The sequence below is a fragment of the Homo sapiens genome, chromosome 20 (assembly GCF_000001405.40).
Source record: "Homo sapiens chromosome 20, GRCh38.p14 Primary Assembly".
Taxonomy (NCBI): domain Eukaryota; kingdom Metazoa; phylum Chordata; class Mammalia; order Primates; family Hominidae; genus Homo; species Homo sapiens.
The window spans coordinates 13,538,954-13,557,906 of record NC_000020.11 but is presented as its reverse complement, the minus strand read 5'-3'; the positions used below and the strand labels follow the sequence as shown (position 1 = coordinate 13,557,906).

The following is an 18,953-nucleotide window of genomic DNA, read 5'->3' as shown; positions in this document are numbered from 1 at the left end:
TTAGGACTTTTTTGCCTTTTTAAAAATTCATGATAGGCCAGGTGCAGTGGCTCATGCCTGTAAATCACAGTACTTTGGGAGGCTGAGGTGGGTGGATTACTAGAGCTCAGGAGTTGAGACCATCATGGGCAACAAGGAAAACCCCATCTGTACAAAAATTTAGCTGGATATGGTGGTGCATACCTGTACTCTCAGCTACTCGGGAGGCTGAGGTAGGAGAATCACCTGAGTCTGGGGTGTCAAGGCTGCAGTGAGCCGTGATCATGTCACTGTGCTCTAGCCTGGGTGATGGAGTGAGACCCTGTCTCAAAAAAAAAAAAAAAAAAAAAAAAAACCAAAAACATCGTAATAAAATTTGCATAGAGTAAATGATTTAATCAGTTTTTATAAACATATATGCCCATGTAAACCATACACCTATCAAGATATAGAATATTTCCAGTTCTTTCATGCTGCTTTCCAGTTAGTCTCCAACTTAAAGGCAGCCACTGTCCTGATTTTTATTACAGTAAATGCTTTTTCTTGCTCTGAACGTTATATAAATGGAATCATACAGAATGTACTCTTTTCTGTTTGGCTTCTTTCACAGAAAGCTTTTATTAGACATTGTATCACCGATTTATTCTTTTTTATTACTGATTAATATTTCCTAATATAAATACACATTAATTTGTTTATCCGTTTTCCTGTTGATGGACATTTGATTTTTTTTCCAGTTTTTTACTATTACGAATAAAGCTGCTGTGAAATTCTCATACCATTCTTTTTGTGGAGATCAGGTTAGGATTTTTATATATAGGAGTTTCACTGCATCTCATGGAGAATATCTTCAGCTGGAATTACTCAAGTAGTTCAGTTTTCCATTCAGGAAATGGGACTGAACTGGGTAGTAAGAAAATAATGGTGAACAAGATGGAGGAAGCTCATGCTCTAATGAGACCTTACATTTTAGGAGAAAGAGACATATTAGCATATAATTAAGATAGTTATTCTTGTAACTGTTATGAAGGAAAAAAAGAAGAACAAAATGATGTGATATAGAGTAACTTGGATGTGAGAGTCTGAATGAAGACTTTGTTAAATAGGATGGTCAACGGAGACCCCTATGAGGAGATAACATTTGAGGTGACATCTAAAAAATGAGTGGCTTTTATGAAGACTCAGTGGAAGAGTGTTCCAGGCAGAATGAGCTGCATGTGCAGAGGCCCTGTGGGAGTTTGGCACATTACAGGAATGGAGAGAGAGAGTCAGTGTGCCAAATCAGTGAGCAAGGGGAGAATAGTATGAGATGAAGCTGGAGCAGTTGGTATGGGCTAGCTCCTTTAGGACCTGGTAGATCATGGCAAGGAGTTTGAATTTTATTCAATAATTTTATTCAAGAATTTTATTTATTTTATTCTTGAATTTTATTCAAGAATAATGGCTAGCCATTGAAGAGTTTAAAGTAGGGAAACAGTGCTTTCTTATTCACATTTTGCAAAGTTCTCCATGGGCTACTATGTGAATAATCAGTCCAAGGGGGAGGTAAGAGTAGAAGTTGGGAGACTAGTTACAAAGTCATTGCAGTTTGGAGATTATGGCACCTTGGACTGTAGGTGATAGGGATGGAGATGACGATAAGTGAATATATCCAGAAAATATTTTGAGGGTTTCTGGAAAGACAATATTGATGCCAATAGTTATTGGCAAGAAAGAGAGAGGAATTAAGAGTTTTAGCTGAGCAGAGGATTTAAGGGTTTTAGCTGAGCAGTTGGATATTTGCCATTTACTAAAAGAGTAGAGCTGGGGAAATGGGGCTTTCTGGTGGTAGAAGTAGGCAGTGGAAATCAGTAACTTTCTTAACCCATCTCCAACTTAATGGGCTCAGATTGACCAATGCTTTCCATTTTCACCATAAAACCTATTACTTGATGCCAATAGCCCCTTAAACACCCAAAGCTAATAGAATACCTTTTGGTGTACCATCTGCCTCTGTTTCTTTCATTTGAATTATATGCCACCAAGATCCTCATTATGCTTGCTGTGAATCAAGGGGTAATTTCGATTTTCAAGTCTTTATTGCTTAAGAAAGACATTTTGTAAGGCTAAGGCTGCCATAGATAGTGATTCCTCTGATGGATCTGGACAAGGTGAATTGAAAACCTTCTGGAAAGGACTCACTATTCTAGATGCCATTGTGTATATTCGTGATTCATGGGAGAAAGTCAAAATATCAACATTCATAGGCATTTGGAAGAAATGGATTCCAAGCCTCATGGATGACTTTGAGGGATTCAGGACTTCAGTGGAGGAAGTCGCTGTGGATGTGGTGGAAGTAGCAAGAGAACTAGAATTAGAGGTAGGGCCTGAAGATGTGGCTTGAATTGCTACAATCTCATGATAGAACTTTACAGGTGAAGAGTTGCTGCTTGTGGATAAATAAAAAAAGTGATTTATTTAGATGGAATCTACTCTGGATGAAGATGCTGAAAGTATGGTTGAAATGAGAAAGGATTTATAATTTTTTTTTTTTTTTTTTTTTTTTAGAGGGAGTCTTGATCTGTTGCTCAGGCTGGAGTGCAGTGGCACGATCTTGGCTCACTGCAACCTCCGCCTCACAGGTTCAAGCAATTCTCCTGCCTCAGCCTCCTGAGCAGCTGAGACTACAGGCGCCCGCCACCACGCCTGGCTAATTTTTGTATTTTTAGTAGAGATGGGGTTTCACCATGTTGGCCAGGCTGGTCTGGAACTCCTGACCTCAGGTGATCCACCCACCTTGGTCTCCCAAAGTGCTGGGATTACAGGCATGAGCCACCGTGCCCAGCCAGGATTTAAAATATTAGGTGAGCTTATTAATAAAGCAACGGCAGGGTTTGAGAGTTGAATCCAGTTTTGAAAGAAGTTCTGTGGGTAAAATGCTGTCAAGTAACATCATGTACTACAGAGAAATCTTTGGTGAAAGGAAGGGTCATTCAATGTGATAAACTTCCTTATTAGTTTGTTTTAAGAAGTTGCCACAGCCATCTCATGTATGAGCAACTGCCACCCTGATTAGTCAGCAGCCATCAACATTGAGGCAAGGCCCTTCACCAGCCAAAAGATTATGAATTGCTTGCTGAAGGTTCAGATGAGTAACATTTTTTAGCAATAAATTATTTTAAAGTTAAGGTATGCATATTTTTTTAAACATAATGCTATTATACACTTAATAGACTACAGTAAAGTGTAAACATAACTTTTATGTGCACTCGGAAACCAAAATATTTATTTGACTCACTTTATTGTAATATTTGCTCTATTGTGGTGGTCTGGAACGAAACCTGCACTATTTCCAAGTTATGCCTGTAATTTAAAGTGTGAAAAAAAAACTAGATAAATTTGGGATTTTTTTATTGCATTGATTTTTTTTCTTTTAAAGTAATCGATTATACAAACATTATCACAGTACAAGTAGAAATACAAATTAAAGCCAGAAGACTTTATTCTGCTTGGTATTCTACCTCTATAAATTAGAGCGCTCTTGTTTTCTTTAGTCTTTGACCGTTTATACTTACATTTGATTAGTTTAAAGTAAGAATTATTAATCCATGGAATGCTTTTGGCTGCAAACAATGGAAAACCTGACTGTGGTTTAAGAAATGCATATTTGTCCCCTTGCTCTCTGGCCCGTAGCCACATAGTAATAAGTTTGGAGGTGGTTGGTTGCTGGCATTAGTTTAGGTTTCTGATGATGCTAGGGCTAACATATCTGGTATTCTCTTGGGCCTTTTTCTTATACCTTTGCCTCATGGATGTGATATGGCTCCTGAAATTTTAGATGTCACATCTGCATTCAAAGTGAGAGTAAGGCAGGATGGCAAAGAGGGAGAAGTGCCAGATGTATTTTCCTTTTTTATCTGGGATTCAAAATTTTTCTGGAATCTCCCTCAATAAACTTCTCCTTAGTAGTTGAGAAGGGGCACAATTCAGTCACATGGCTATTTCCAGCTGCAAAGGAGCCTAGGAAATTGGGTGAGTTGTCATAATTACCATCTCATAGTTCATGGCTTGAGGATAGACACATTGTCTTCCCAAACAAAATAGCAGTTTTATTGTCAATGGTAGTGGCTATTTGGTAGGTCGTTTACAGTGTATAGCATTAATGGAGATAAGTTTTTATAATCTCCTTCCCCACAATTAACATATCCCTTGTTAATACAAAGTAATATTGAGCTAAATAGCTAGTCTATACATAAATTGAATAAAAGCATATTTTATCTCTGCTTTTAGGATGTATAGATTTTAAGATAAAATACTTTAAAATGAGGAACATAAATTCTTAGTAATTATCCATTCTTGGTAATTGGCATCTTTGTTTCATCCTTGCTTATTTTTTTGTTATTTAGAGGGAAGACATGATGGAGAAGAAAAAGATGACTATTTAGCTGTAGTATTATATTGTGAAATAAAAATAGTAGTCCTTAAGTTCTGTTCTACTTCACTCTCTGGGTAGACCTGTCTCTTCTGGATTTTTCTTTTATCTCTTTCTTATTTTTATGGTATACAGACAGTCCATACTTTGCATGGTAGGGCTGGACCATAAAGTGACCATGCAAGCTGAAACCATGCAGAGTGGGCTTAATGGTGTAAATTTAGCTTGTTCCATGACCTTTAAATATTTTTGTCAAAACGTTAAAAACTCTTGGTGGAGTACAGTGACTCACACCTGTCATCCCAGTGCTTTGGGAGGCCGAGGCAAGAGGATCACTTGAGGCTAGGAGTTTCGAGACCAGCCTGGATAACATAGCAAGACCCTGTCTCTCTATATGTAAATACAAAAGAAAAACTGGCTGGGCATGGTGGCATGCACCTGTAGTCCCCGTTACTCAGGATGCTGAGGTGGGAGGATAGCTTGAGCCCAGGAGTTTGAGGTTACAGTGAGCCATAATCATGCTACTGCACTCCAGCCTGGGCAACAGAGTGAGACTCTGTCTCCCCGACTCTGTCTCAAAAAGAGGAAAGAAGAAAAACAGAAAGAAAAACCCAGAAATCTCTTTTACTGTTGGTTATAAATGTGTATGGAAACAGAAAAAAGTAAAACCAATATTTACTTAGTACACTAAAGCATTTAGAAACATTAACAGTGTTTTATTTAGGATAAAAATTTATAATTTGAACAGTACTTGCCTCCTCAGCATGTAACTTATGATGTCATATGAACATCTTTTCTATGTGGTGGTGAATTTTCATACTCCTTTCTAATTTTGGATCAGCTTTCAACATTCTACCTTTTGCTCTTTCAGTGTCACCACATAGCTGCCAGTCTTCCTTTAGTGTGAAATTTTTGCCAATGTCACTTCCTCTGGGACATCTTCATCCTTTTTGTCCCAACTCCACTCCTTGATAAGATCCTCTTTAGTAAGTTCCTCTGTCTGTATATCTAGAGCCTTAATGGCAGCAGTGTCAGACATGCCCGTGGTCACTTATTTCTCGTATAACTTCATTTATCTTTCATTTGAATTTCACTTCCAGCATTATCACTTTTGTTTTGTTTTGTTTTTGTTTTTCCTTGACTTTCTTCTGTAAATTCATCACTTAGAGACAGAGAGGCAACGTTTCCACCTGCTGTCTTTGCACAGTGACACATCACTGACAGACTTTCAAAGAATGTCATGATTGGTCACTGATCGTGATGTGCATCACTGATGTTTGCAGTGGTTTGTGAACCAAGGAGATGGCGGGGGAGTTTATATTTCATGCAGTTACTCAGAGTTAATAATACCATGGTAATTGAAATTTGAACCATGTTGTCGAGGGACTGGTGTGATTTAAATAAACTCTGGTAATTGAAATTTATGTATATTAGGCAAAGCAAGGACTATTTTTCTGTCAAATAACCTGGACTGTTTGTCCTGTGATGTTTCCTTCAATCTGAGTTTTGCTCATTGTATACACACAGTAAAGTTCAGCATGTTCCTGTATCTTCCATAATTTCTGCAAATGGACATCTGGATCTCCCCTTACAAAATTGCCATGGCCTCTCATTGTTGGAATACTTATCAGTAAGTTCATGTGGTGTATGTGATGAAGTGATTACCTGTTTTAAATTTATTGTTTGCTTTGTTTTGACACAAGAAAAAAGTGGTTGTATTGTTTACTAATCTTTATCCTATTTGGAAGAGGAAACCTTACTTTTGGAATGAAGTGTTTAACTCATTAACTCATTGGCCAATTGCTGTACTTGGCTTATGCTACAGGACTGACTGGGTTGCTACATGACTGAGAGTTACTTGCTAAAAGAGGAGACCCTCGTATTGGGAAAACAAACTGATTGAATGCATGGCATAATCTAGATTTCATAAATATCAGTTTCAAACAGCCAGCCCTGGATATGACTGGAAGGGACTCTTAGAGTATTAAAAGAGGTTGGGGGTATTGTTTGATCTCAACATTTTTGATGTTTCAAGCCTTTTTTTTCCTTTCTCTTCATTTTTCACAAGCATATTGTTGAAATAGTTTCCATCTCTTTTTCTTTAATAACAGATTTTACAGTTGAATGTACATAATTATTTGCCTCCTCCCATGACTTTTACAAAGTAATTTAAGTTTTTAATTAATTTCATTGGTGTTTAGGTAAAGCAGTACTTACATGGGATAGTGAAATGAAAGTTAATCAGACATTTTCCATTGTGTGAATGAATATCTTTCCTTCTTTGATTTTTAATAAACAAGTTAAAAAATTTTGCAATGATTTTGGTGCTTTCATACAATGTTGTGTGTTCAAAACCACTCTAAAGAGATGCTACAACTTTTAATTTTGTATTCTTTAGCCACCACATAGGGACATCAAATTGGCCACATGTTTCAGAAAGGAAATGTTGGGCCTTGCTTTGTACCCTTCATATAAATATATTCTATTCTTTTGAAGTATATTGTGGGTAACATTTTTCCCTTTTATCCACCATCTTGAAATTATTATGTAAATGCTTAACTGTATCATACTAAATCATTGTAGTTTTTGGGTGAGAGGTAGGCTAAGATCAAAGAAAATAAATGCACAAAAAACAACATGTTTTCCTCAGATTGTTCCATTTGTACTTGTCTGTGCTTGCCAGAAGAGGAGACCCTGACACTGGAAAAACAAACTGAGTGAATGCATGGCATAATCTAGATTCCATAAATATAAGTTTCAAACAGCCAGCCCTGGATGTGACTGGAAGGGACTCTTAGAGTATTAAGAGTGCAGGAAAAGGAGTAATTAGTCTTCTCTAGAAATTGACTTTGCATGGTCTGGAGTTTTGTCATATTGCTCAAGAAGTTGATTAGTATATGAATATATGAGTAAACCAAAGTAGGAAACTTCTTTGACTTATCTTTTACATAAAGAGATTACTTTATGTATTTTTTAAAAATAAAACCGAAAACTCATTCTGTGAAATGATTGTCTGGTATTTGAAATTTTTTTTTTAGTTGTAGGTAATATACTGAAAATTACATTTGCCTCACATAAGACTATCTTGATTACTGGATGAGCCTACAGATTTTACATGTAAATCAGTAGATAGGTCAGTAACTTAATTAATGTCTTATTGGATCACCCCCATCCCATACATTTATTTAGGTTATAAAGCCTGATGATTGGCATTTGTTTTCAGTATATGAGGATCTTCTAAATGTTTATAGCTTATAGTACTTTATGCCAATCATCAATATCTGAGTCTAAAACTTTCGACCTTTGATGACTGGACAATTGCAGTGTCTCTGTGTGTGTGTGTGTGTGTGTGTGTGTGTGTGTGTGTGTATGTGTATATATTCCATATTTAGGAAAAGCTTCTAACTTAGCATATAAAGATTCAATACCTAGGAGATTGAGTTTCTTCCCAGGTCGTCCTTAAATCCACACCAAGCTATACCTTAAATCTATATGAAGTCTTAAAGTTATAAGTAAGATGAAATTGAGGCAAGAAGGCAATGTTAAGAAATCTTAACTACTGTTTTTGTTTTGTAACGGAAGTAACCTGTGGTTTGTCAGAATATTTGTTATAAGTTGACATCAGATATTGTCGGCCTTGTAAATTCTTCCTAAATTTTGAGTATTTAATAGCTCTGTAGAGACTTAAAATTTGTAGTATTTAACGGAATCAATGGAGAGGGAAAAAAGGAACATTTCTTAATGTTATCATTGGAATAGTCCCAGCTGATCTTGTGTATAATATCAAGTCACCACCTTGTAGCTTTCCTATCAGGAAATATCTCCAGTGAATGGAATCTCACTGGGACTACAGATAGAAGCCTTCATATCTGGAAATTGGCTTAGATGCTGGTGTTAAGAACATCACATTCCAAGTTTAAATATGTCTCCATGTGATATCATATGCTATCACCATACACCAATGACCTGATTTGCCCTATCATAGACATGGTGATGCTGACACATGTATAGCTAATAAGACAGCAGAATAAATGAGTGCATTAAAAAAACCAAATGTGTGTGTACACACACACACATACACACACACACACACCTATTACAAGTACAAGGGTATTTTAAGATCACAAGACAAGAAATAACCAGTGCTTAATTAGGTTGATGGAAAATTATCTGTAACTTTTTAAAGCCTTGGTTCAGCTGTGTCTTCTCTAATCAGCTTAGAATATTTTAAATACATAGTCGGGTCCCAGGAACTATTTGAAATTCAAGACTTGAGACTGGAATTACTTGAGGAGTGGAGGGAATAGGGTAAGGTGAGAGACAGTGTATAAAGGGTCAAGAGTTGTATCTAGATCTATTATAAGCCAGTCCAGAGACTTTGGGCAAACATGGAACCTCTCTAGACTTTAGTTTCCTCAGCAGTTAAGTCAGCATGTTGAACTAGGTAATTACCATGGTCTTTTTTAGCTTGGTGTAATACTCTTAATACATATTCATTGTCAACATGGAGTATGTCCAAACTTCCTTGATTCTCTTATTAAGGAATTCTTTATTCTAGTGGATCCTAAACCTGGCTGATCATTAGATTCATCTGGGGACTTTTAAAACTACAGATTCTTAGGTTCTGCTTTAAACATACCGAATCATAATCTGCAGGAATGGGTAAGCTATTGGGCCGGTATTTGAGATCATTGCTTGTTCTTCCTAATATGTCACAGTGGGCTTAGAAAAGCACCCATTGCATAAATAAACATGGAACATTTTAGATGAACTGGGATTATATGATTGAATTCAGTTAATGACTTCATGTCCAGCATCACTCATTTAGTTTTCCTCCAGGTAGTCTAGAACTCCCTTCTTGGAGTTGCAGCTCTTCCTCTTTGCTTCCAGGATTTGCCTCAGGGTCACTTTCATTGTTCACAGTCAAACCTTCACCAGGCAGCCAGTTCTCTCAAGTCAGGCTCCTTGCTCTTTATTTTCCCCTGCCCAGCAGAGGACCTGACACATTAGCAGCTATTTAATGAAGGTTTATTTGAATGGATGAATCTATATGTATTTTTCCATTTCCTTTTTTTTATGTCCCAACCTGTTCCAGTTGCCTGTTTTCTCCTGCCTATTACACATTTTCACTTGTTTGACCCATCACAGTCTAACTCAGCATGTTTAGAATCATGCTCCACTCACTCTCCTGGATGATTGCACTAGCTTCCTACCTATCTGCCCACAACTGCCCTGCCCTTTCAGTCATTTCTCTGCCCAGCATTCTTGAAGTTTTCTAAAAGTACAGTTTGATTTTGTCATGCTCCTGCTTGAACCCTTAACTCACTTCCAGCTGCTCTTAAGAATAAAGTATAGGCTCCCCAACAGAGTCCCCAGGACCCTATGGGAGCAGACATGGCTGTCTGTCTTTCCAATCTTTTGCCATCTCACTCCGGGTCACATTGTCAAGATTCTTCCTGTGTCAAGGTCTTCACACCTGTGATTCCAGATCCAGGGAATGTTGCCTGTCTCCTTCCTTCTTCTCTCTCTTTAAGCTATTGTGCTGCTCCAATTGTCTCTCTGTCATTATTAGTGTGGTTATTTGATGTCTTTATCTTCCAGTAGAATGAGGTTCCAGGAGGACAGCTATTGTATGTCTTATTTACCATGGTTTCTCAGCTTGACATATAATAAATGCTCAATAAACATTTAATGAATACATGCACTACTTTTTTTTTTCTTGTTTCTTTTTAGTAGACATACTACCAGTGAGCCTTTGTCTTTTCACCCTCAGTGGCTGGACTGTTGCAGTATCTTCATGCCTGGCTTCTTTGCCTCTAGTCCTGCTCTATTCCGTTTTAATTCTGTGTGCTATCAGAAGATACATTTCCCTAAAAATACCTGCATTGGTTTTGTCTCTCTCCTGGAAGAAACTTTAATAGAATCTTTACTGTCTGTGGGTTAAAACCCAAACTTTTAAGCTGAATTTTATAAACCCTCTTGAAACCTAGCTACAAGCTACTTTTCCATTATCTTCCTTCTGGAATTACCTTTTTTTCTCACCAAATATATTTCTCTTTTCAGTTTTATTTGCTGAGAGTTCTCAAATCCAAGTTTTTGTTCATATTCCTTCCCTTAATGGGATAAGCAGTAATTAATAATGGAATATTAACTACTTCTTTGCTTCCTGAAAATTCTAATTCAACTCTTCCTTTATGAGCTAGCTCCAATGCCATGCAGATCAAATTTCTTTCTTCTAGTTGGCACAGATGACAGGTACTTAATAAGTGTTAATTGAATTGAATTATCTGCTTTACACATTTGCCATTTTGAGGTTGGTGTATGTGGTTATTTTGTTTGTGTATGTCCATAGAAGCGTGAGCATTTTGTTACTTTATCCTTATCACAGTCTCTAGAAATAGTGCCTTTACTCAGTTGACATTACTAATTTAAGCATCTACAGCTGATGATTTGAATATTAATTTTGAAAGAGAAAACCCATATAATGATATTTCCTCTTAATAGTAAATTTTGCAGTCTTCCAATAGGTTTAAAATCTTTTATTTAAGGGCTTCAAACATGCATTAGTCTAAAAACTAAGCTTGTTTTAACAATAAGCTTGTATTTGGGGAAATAAAAGGGATAGGTTATCTGAAGTATTACCAAATAATATTATTATGCTCACTCAACATTATAGAGATGTAAGATAATATGTAAGTAAGGGAGGGAAATGAATGTTGAAAAATAATAGCTTGAAACAGCCCACAATCTCCACTGGCCATTCCAAAGAGGTGAGTCAGGAAGTGCCCACAAGGGGGCGTGCTCATCTAGAGAAACTTGACCAAGTGCCTTTCCTGTTAATGCAGGTAAAACTGCCTGTTTACAAATGAACTTCTAGACCATGTCTTCCCCACACCGCCAAGAAAAGGAATGGACCCTCATCACAAGAATTCCTATCTATTTTGTAGCACATGTTTATTTTGGATGTGTGATTTTCCAGGGGGGCTAGGGGACTTACAGAATGGAAATATGAATTGCCTTGTGAGCTCAGACAAGTTTATGAAGCTTGTGATTGTGCCTTTTTTTGGCTGTGCTAAGAGCATTTTTATTTTGTAAGCATTGTTGTCTTTTCTGTGAAGAAGTGTTGAGGTTTGTAAAATATCCTTTTTGGATTATTAGCCCAAGAAACAGGCAGTGCTCTATTTTCACTGCTTCATCAGTTTGTGTAGCTTGAGGAACTACCAGCTAGTCATTTGGAGAAGTGCATGGGCTTTGATTGGTGTTTTTTCCACCAGAAGTCATGGCTTCTTGCAGTCTTTAATTTTTCTTTTCCAGTCCTTTTTTTTTTAACCTTTGGCCTCAACATTATCACCAGCAAACATTTATTGAATGCTATTTATGTACAGGCTTTTAAATAGATCTTAGAGAATGAATAGAGGATATGGCACCTAGTCCCTGCCCTTTATGTATTTGATCCGAAGGAATTAAACAATAAAAAGAAATCATGCCATTTGGTATGTGTTAGAAGAACAAAATCATCAGTGAGAGCCACAGGAATTAACTGGATGGAGAAATCACTCTAAGCTCTGCTAAGTTTCACATGGCAGTCTTAATGGAATTGGAGGAATTTAAGCTGGATGTTGGATAAAGGGTCAGACTTATATGTCTGGGTAGAAAGAAAGATAAAAGTCCTGGGTTCAGAGGCCTGCAAATGGATGAGTTTGGTTGCACCGTAGGTTTTCTGCAGGACAGTGGTTTCAAACTCAGAAGCCAGGGGTGCCAGGCAGGTAGGCAGCCTAAATGTGTGAGACAGGTCTAGAGAGGTAGACAAGTAGAAGAGAGTGGGGCTGACTGGCCATGTGTGTTCCATTGTAAGATATTTTAAAAAAAAATGTGTAACACCAAACTACACTTTGCTGGTCAAACCAAACGCTGGTTTTTGCAGCTTGTAATTCCTGGTGGGGGAATGTCAGTTGATAAAGTTAAACTGTCTGCAGAATTTAGCAAAGTAAAATAGGCCATAGAGGAATTATGACCATAGCTAGAGTCCCCCTGAATATCATGCTACTTTTATTTGTATTATCGTACTTCTGACCAAATGAGGGGAATATTTTGAAATATGTATGAATGGCCCATCCTTGTGGCTATTTGAACTAAACACAGGCTTTGGGTATTTAGAGTCTCTGAAAACATCACTGAGATTAATTTGAATGACATTCGATTTTCTAGGATATGGCACTATCATAATTTAGGTTATATTTTATATCCTAGAATATACTTAACTCCTTTCCTACTCTCTCAGTTCTTTACTTTCTAATAAGATCTATTGAGGAACGAAAGGATAAAGAGTATATAGGTACTATTTCTTTCTTTTTGCTTTTCAATATGCTTATCTTTAATCGTCATGTATTTATGATTTTGAATAACAGTTTCTATTTTTGTGGGTATATTCATAATTATATGGCCATTTGGTGATATGCATAGATACGCTGTACTTAAAAAATCTCATGTTAAATAAGGTAACTTATTACTGTATTAAGTCAACATTAAATATTTTTCTACAGTCTGGAAAGGGTTGAATTTAAATCCAAGTTAAGTGGCCCATCCCAACTGTTATGGTGTTTCATTGACAGGAATAGAATCCAGATTGTCCATGTTACCTTCCAGTCCTTTATCTGTTACTCCCCACTGCTATAAGACTCAGTTTAAAGGCTGGCAGAGCTCTCGTATTTAAAAGAGAAAGTGTAATTTTATCCAGAGAAGATAAATATGTGCCCTAAAATGAAAGAAAGACCAGAGGTCCAGACCATAGCTAGGTGTTTTTGGAAAGAGCCAAATTGGACAACTAAATTGGAAAAGGTTGCCTGCATTTATAAAGGAGATTTCTTTGCTATTTATTAATAATTAGCAAGGTCTTAGCTTGTCTAGCTTTGTATTTTTAAATCTGCCCAGTAATGAATTCATATCCTATTAGTCGGTATGTTAGTAGCATGTTGTGTTGTTTCTGTCTTTGAAGTATTAATACTATGATACACATGCCTCTATGAAGTAAAACTACCAAATGATCTTGGTTCTCTTCTTCTCTCTTGAATATATTTCCCAGACAGTGGTGACTGATTACAGTGAAGGATGACCAGCTCTCCAGTGGGAAAAACAAAGTTAGAGCTAAAGTGTAGTATGGGCATTGCTTGTTCTCACTTTTAGGAAATCAAGAAACTTTGGAGTAAAATAGAACTGAATTAGTAAAAAATGAGAAAAGTGTGATCCAGTACCAAATGACCTCATAGGATGGGAGGGCAGTAAAGAATTTTTTCAAAAAGGAAACACTGAATATAGCAATATGGGACCAATATCAAGAAATACAATTTTTTTACAGATAAAGTGAGAGGCTTAATGTTCGATGGTTTTAGTCTTAGAAGTTTGTTTTGAACAATAGACTAAAGGGCACGCAAAACTTCCAGAAATAAGGATTACTCCCATATTACGAGAAATGGGTGTGGATTTTGGTTTGGTTATTATGGGGACCAGCCAAATATTTCACGGCAGTTGTTAAAGGATGTGCTTTTGGGAACAAACTCATTTAAGAGTGATGTGCAAAATGGTACATTAGGGAAGATCTAAATATGAAATAATCAGAAATGTTAGGTAATAGAAAACTGCTTTAGATAAGCTGAGTTTGGATCACATGTCCAAATTGAGCAAGATGCAGTTTCAGAAGGAACAAAGTTTGAGTTATTGATGAGATTCAATTAAAGAATATTAATTTTATGATACTTTGTTGCTTATAGATGCATGAGGGGCAAGATAAGCCAATAAAGATCCTGTAACAAGCCAGCCTATGGTCTTCTTGTATTGTGGAGAAATGTGTGTATTAGAGGTTGAAAGGCGCAAGGGCCTCCTGTTTGGTCGGGAAGTGATTCAAGAAATCTTTGTTTTTGAGATGGAGTCTCGCTGGGTCACCCAGGCTGGAGTGCAGTGGCGCAATCTCGGCTCACTCTAGCCTCCACCTCCAAGGTTCAGGCTATTCTCTTGCCTCAGCCTTCTGAGTAGCTGGGCTACAGGTGCATGCCATTGTGCCTGGCTATTTTTTAAAATATTTTTAGTAGAGATGGGGTTTCTCCATGTTGGCCAGACTGATCTTGAACTCCTGACCTCAAGTAATCTGCCTGCCTTGGCCTCCCAAAGTGTAGGGATTACAGGCGTGAGCCACTGTGCGTGGCCAAGAAATCTTTTTCTGGAATTATTTGAGCCTGCATCACTTGAAGATATGTAGTACTTTAATGTGTGGTGTGGGTGGGGTGGGGATGAGGGTAGGGGTGGAAAGTGACATTTGCACTGTATGAAGTACAAGTGAGGCAGAGATGCTAGCGTCTGTTATTACTTGAGAGAGATGAGGCTAGTGTTGGAGGACAAGGCTGGAGGGATGGGCTTTTGCTGAGATTTAGGTGATACACAGAGAAAGTGATTGCCAATCAGATTGAATTCATTCAAGTATTTTCTCACAGAACCAACTTTGCCTTTTTTGGTCTCTTTATTTAAAGTTTATATCTATCTCCTTCATTGATTTTTCATTTTTTCTTTGGTTTTTTTCCCCCTTTTTCTTTGTGTTTGTCTTGTTCTCTTTCTAATTTCTTTTGTTGGATAGTTAGCTTATTAATTTTTTCTTCTTTTCTGATGTTAAAATTTTGGACATAAATTTCCCTCTTAGTACTACTTTTACTGTATCCCACAAGTTTTGAAATGCTACATTTTTGTTTTTCATTTTTAAGTATTTTTTGTTTCCATTTTGATTTATTTGATCCATAAATTATTTAGAAGAATTTTTAATCTTTTAATTTCCAAATTTTATCTACTTTTATTGACTCCTAAGTTAATTGTATTATAGTCAGAGAGTATATTGTTTGATATTGTTTTTTGAAATTTGTTAATGATTTAGTTTATGGTTTAACGTGTGATCAGTTTGTGCCTGAAAAGAAACTTTCTTTTCTAAAATTGGGTACAGAGATCTGTCAGTGCTATAAAATCAAGCTTTTTAATATGCTATTCACGTCCATTTCTTACTGATTTTTCTTGCTTGACCTCTTCATAATTGAGAGAAACATGTTGAAATACCTCATTGTGGAGTATGATTTGTTGATTTCTCTGTTTTTACTTTACATAAATTTGAGGCTTTTAAAAATACATACAAATTTAGAAATATTGTATTTCCTTGGTGACTCTAAGCTTTCAGCATTTATCATGTAAAGCCCTGTATCTCTATTAATGCTTTCTGTCTTAACACTTATTTTGTGTGATGTTAACATAGTTTCATTGTTTGGATTGATATCTGCTTGGTGTATCGTTTTTTCTTCCCCATCCTTTTACTTTCAACTTTTCCATATACTTATGCTTTAGGCTTATCTCTCATAAATAACATCTAGCCAGATTTTAAAATCCAATCTGATGACATTCAATAAGACATTATTATTTTTTAAGTTTTTTTTTTTTTTTTTGGAGACGGAGTCTTGCTCTGTCGCCCAGGCTGGAGGGCAGTGGCACAATCTCAGCTCACTGCAACCTCTGTTTCCCGGGTTCAAGCAATTCTCCTGCCTCAGCCTCCCGAGTAGCTGGGACTATGGGCACACACCGCCATGCCTGGCTCATGTTTTGTATTTTTAGTAGAGACAGGGTTTCACTGTGTGTTTTAATTTATATGCAGGTTTGCCGTTGTGTTTGCTTACCCATTTCTTGTTGCGTGTCTGCTTGTCCTCCTTCATTTATTTCCCTTCTTCATGAAATATATCATTTATTTATTTATTCATCCATTCAACAAGTGTTTACTGAGTGCCTAAGAGGTGTCAAGGGCTTTTCTGGGTGCTTGGCATATGTTAGTGTATAAAACATGCAAAGGTTCCTGCCTTCATGAAGCCTATCATCTTGTCAGAGAGATGGGCAATGTAAATGATATGAGCATTCTATCATTTTAGAAGGTGATGAGATGTTATGGAAAAAATATAAAGTAGAGCAAAGAACGGGAGATTAGGTGTGCTTGTGTGTGGATGGTAGGGAGGATGCAGAAGGAGGACAGGTTGTAGTGTTAAGTAGAATGCCCCTTACGGACTTTATTAAATGCAGTCCTCCTGGCAGTGAACTCATTGGATTTATTTATATATTGATAAATGTCTTTAATTTTGTTCCTAAAAGGCAGTTTTGTTGAATACCATTTGTAAGTTTATAGTTGCTTTTCTTTGAGGATATTATACCAACCAATTATAGCCTTCTGGCCTACTGAGCTTCCAGGAATTTGGCTGTCATTCTGTTGTAGGTGACATCTCTTTTCTATCTGGCTTTTTCCCTTTTTCTCTGGCTTCCTGGAGATCAGGATTCTTGTTTTCTATCAGTGCTGGAAAATTTGAGCCATTTTGTCTTTAAATATTTTCTCTCTTTTATTTTGTCTATTCTCTATAGTTAACCACAGATTAGACTTTGAGCCATGTCTCTTAATATCTCATTCATATTTTTCAGGTTTTCCCTTTTTTCTTATAGTTACAACCAAATGTGTATTAAATATGCCTTATGCCAATAGGAAAAAGTTGAAAAATTTGTTCATGATCTGATGTTTTGAATGTTTGGTTTTGTTTTTTAAGATAGTACATTGCTATTGATTTTTTTTTGCCTTTTTTACAGGTAAAATTTACACACAGTAAAATGCATGCATCTTGAGTGTATAATTCGATGAATTTTAACATGTGTATATAACCATGTAACCAATACTCCTATCAAAATATAGAATATTTCCATGACTCCAGAAAGTTTTCTTGTGCCCCTTCATAGGTGGTGTCCTCCCCAATGAAGATAACAATTTTCTGATTCTTTTTCACCATAGTTTTACTTGTTCGTTAAAATGGAGTCTATATGTTCTTTTGTGTCCAGCTTCTTTTGCTCAGCATATGTCTGAAAGATTATTCATATTGTTACATATAGCATGGGCTCCTTTTTATTGCTCAGCAATCTTCCAGTATTGACAATATCATGATTCGTTTACCCATTCCCCTGTTGATAGACATTTGGATTGTTCCCAGGTTTTGGCTATTGCAAATAAAGGTGCCATGAACACCCTTGACAAGTCTTTTTGTGGTATACATTTTGATTTCTCTTTGGTAAATACTTAAGAATTTCATTGTTGGGTCATAGGTAGGTTTATATTTAATGTAGAACTTATAAATTTTGATTTAGAATTATAAAATTGTGATTAATATTCATTTCAGACAAATAAGTCAAATTGGACATACTTATCATTAAATATTTAATATTTGAAGTCCTTGAGATGTGTTCTGTAAGTATTTTGATAGGATGAATGCAGTTTAATGACCTACTTAATGTCATCTTAAGGAACTTGCTGTAATTTTTATTTCAAGTTCAGCATATCCCAGGTTCTCAATCTTTAACCAGTGGTTCACTATGGGTATAAGTTAAATGATATTAATTAAACTGCGTATGAGTGAGAATAGAAATGATTTAAAGCTGCATAAAACTACTTTTGTGATAGTATTTACTGTTTAGCTGTGTAATAATTTAAGCCATGAGTATTCGTGTGATCTCTACCATCACTTACACACACTCATTCAACATGCACTCTGAGGCCCTTCAAACTGTTCCATTTTAAAGAGAAAAGCTTCCAATTCATTATTTAAAAGATTATCTTAAAAACCAAGATGAAAACTGTTGCCTTTTCCACCTTTAATGTTGCAAACCCCAGAACATTGTATAGGAATTCTACCAGTTAGAAAACATCGTCCTTTGCTATCTTTGAGGGTTTGGAATTTTTAAGTAATCTTTTTTATGGTATGAATTTAATTCCTCTAACCCAGATATGTTAAATCCCCTTAAAAGCATGGTTCAAACACGTTATTTTTATTTTAACCTGAAAATGCTTCTGTTAATTTTTGTCAAGTGATTTAGGAAATAAATAGTATAAAGATTTTATTGTTTATTTTTTTGCTTGTTTAGAGATAGTGTCTTACTCTGTTGTCCTGACTGGAGTGCAGTGGTGTGACGATTGCTCACTATAGCCTTGCACTCCTGGGCACAGGGGATCTTCCAGCCTCAGCCTCCTGAGTAGCTCAGACTACAGGTGTGTGCCACCATGCCTGGCTGGGTTTTTTATTTTTTGTAGAGGCAGGGTCTGCTATGTTGACCACTCTGTTTAGATTTTTATATGGTATACATTTTTTTCCTCTTGCTCTATAAATATATTTGGTACCAATTTGTATAGTGTTGCAAAGCCATTTAATTCATACCTATTAAACAAAGAAAATAAAAGATTACTTAAGAATAGACATCTTGACTATAGTTTATAAGAAACATCGTTAATAGTATTGGGCATCAGAAGATGATTTTCTAAAGAGGGAAGATAATATCATTGAGTGTTCCTATGTTCAGATTTTTGCTGGTTTCATGCAGTCCACATAGGTGAGAGTAGATAATTCTAGCTAAATTATTATTATTTTTGAGACAGAGTCTCACTGTGTCACCCAGGCTGGAGTGCAGTGGCGTGATCTCGGCTCACTGCAACCTCCACCTCCTGGGTTCAAGCGATTCTCCC

The 18,953-nt window shown here is 36.4% G+C and overlaps 1 protein-coding gene across 23 annotated transcripts in view, besides 1 other annotated feature; it reads left to right on the top strand.

Moving 5' to 3' along the window:
• The window catches only part of TASP1 (taspase 1), a 534,161-nt gene that overhangs the window by 81,026 nt on the left and 434,182 nt on the right, over window positions 1–18,953 (top strand). For 2 of the 23 annotated variants that reach the window (XM_017027931.3, XM_047440277.1), the window contains exon 9: window positions 5,918–6,020. The exons of the other annotated variants lie outside the window; for them this stretch is intronic. In XM_017027931.3, the coding sequence (XP_016883420.1) occupies window positions 5,918–5,920 (3 nt within the window). In that variant the 3' untranslated portion in view covers window positions 5,921–6,020. Of the gene's footprint in view, window positions 1–5,917; window positions 6,021–18,953 lie in introns of those variants that run through there. 23 annotated transcript variants of the gene reach the window in all.
• Window positions 8,091–8,385: a silencer, noted in NCBI's record as "tiled region #15076; HepG2 Repressive non-DNase unmatched - State 15:Elon". NCBI's record gives its function as "represses a minimal TATA promoter and a strong SV40 promoter by Sharpr-MPRA in HepG2 cells {active_cell/tissue: HepG2}" and the evidence as "EXISTENCE:reporter gene assay evidence [ECO:0000049][PMID:27701403]".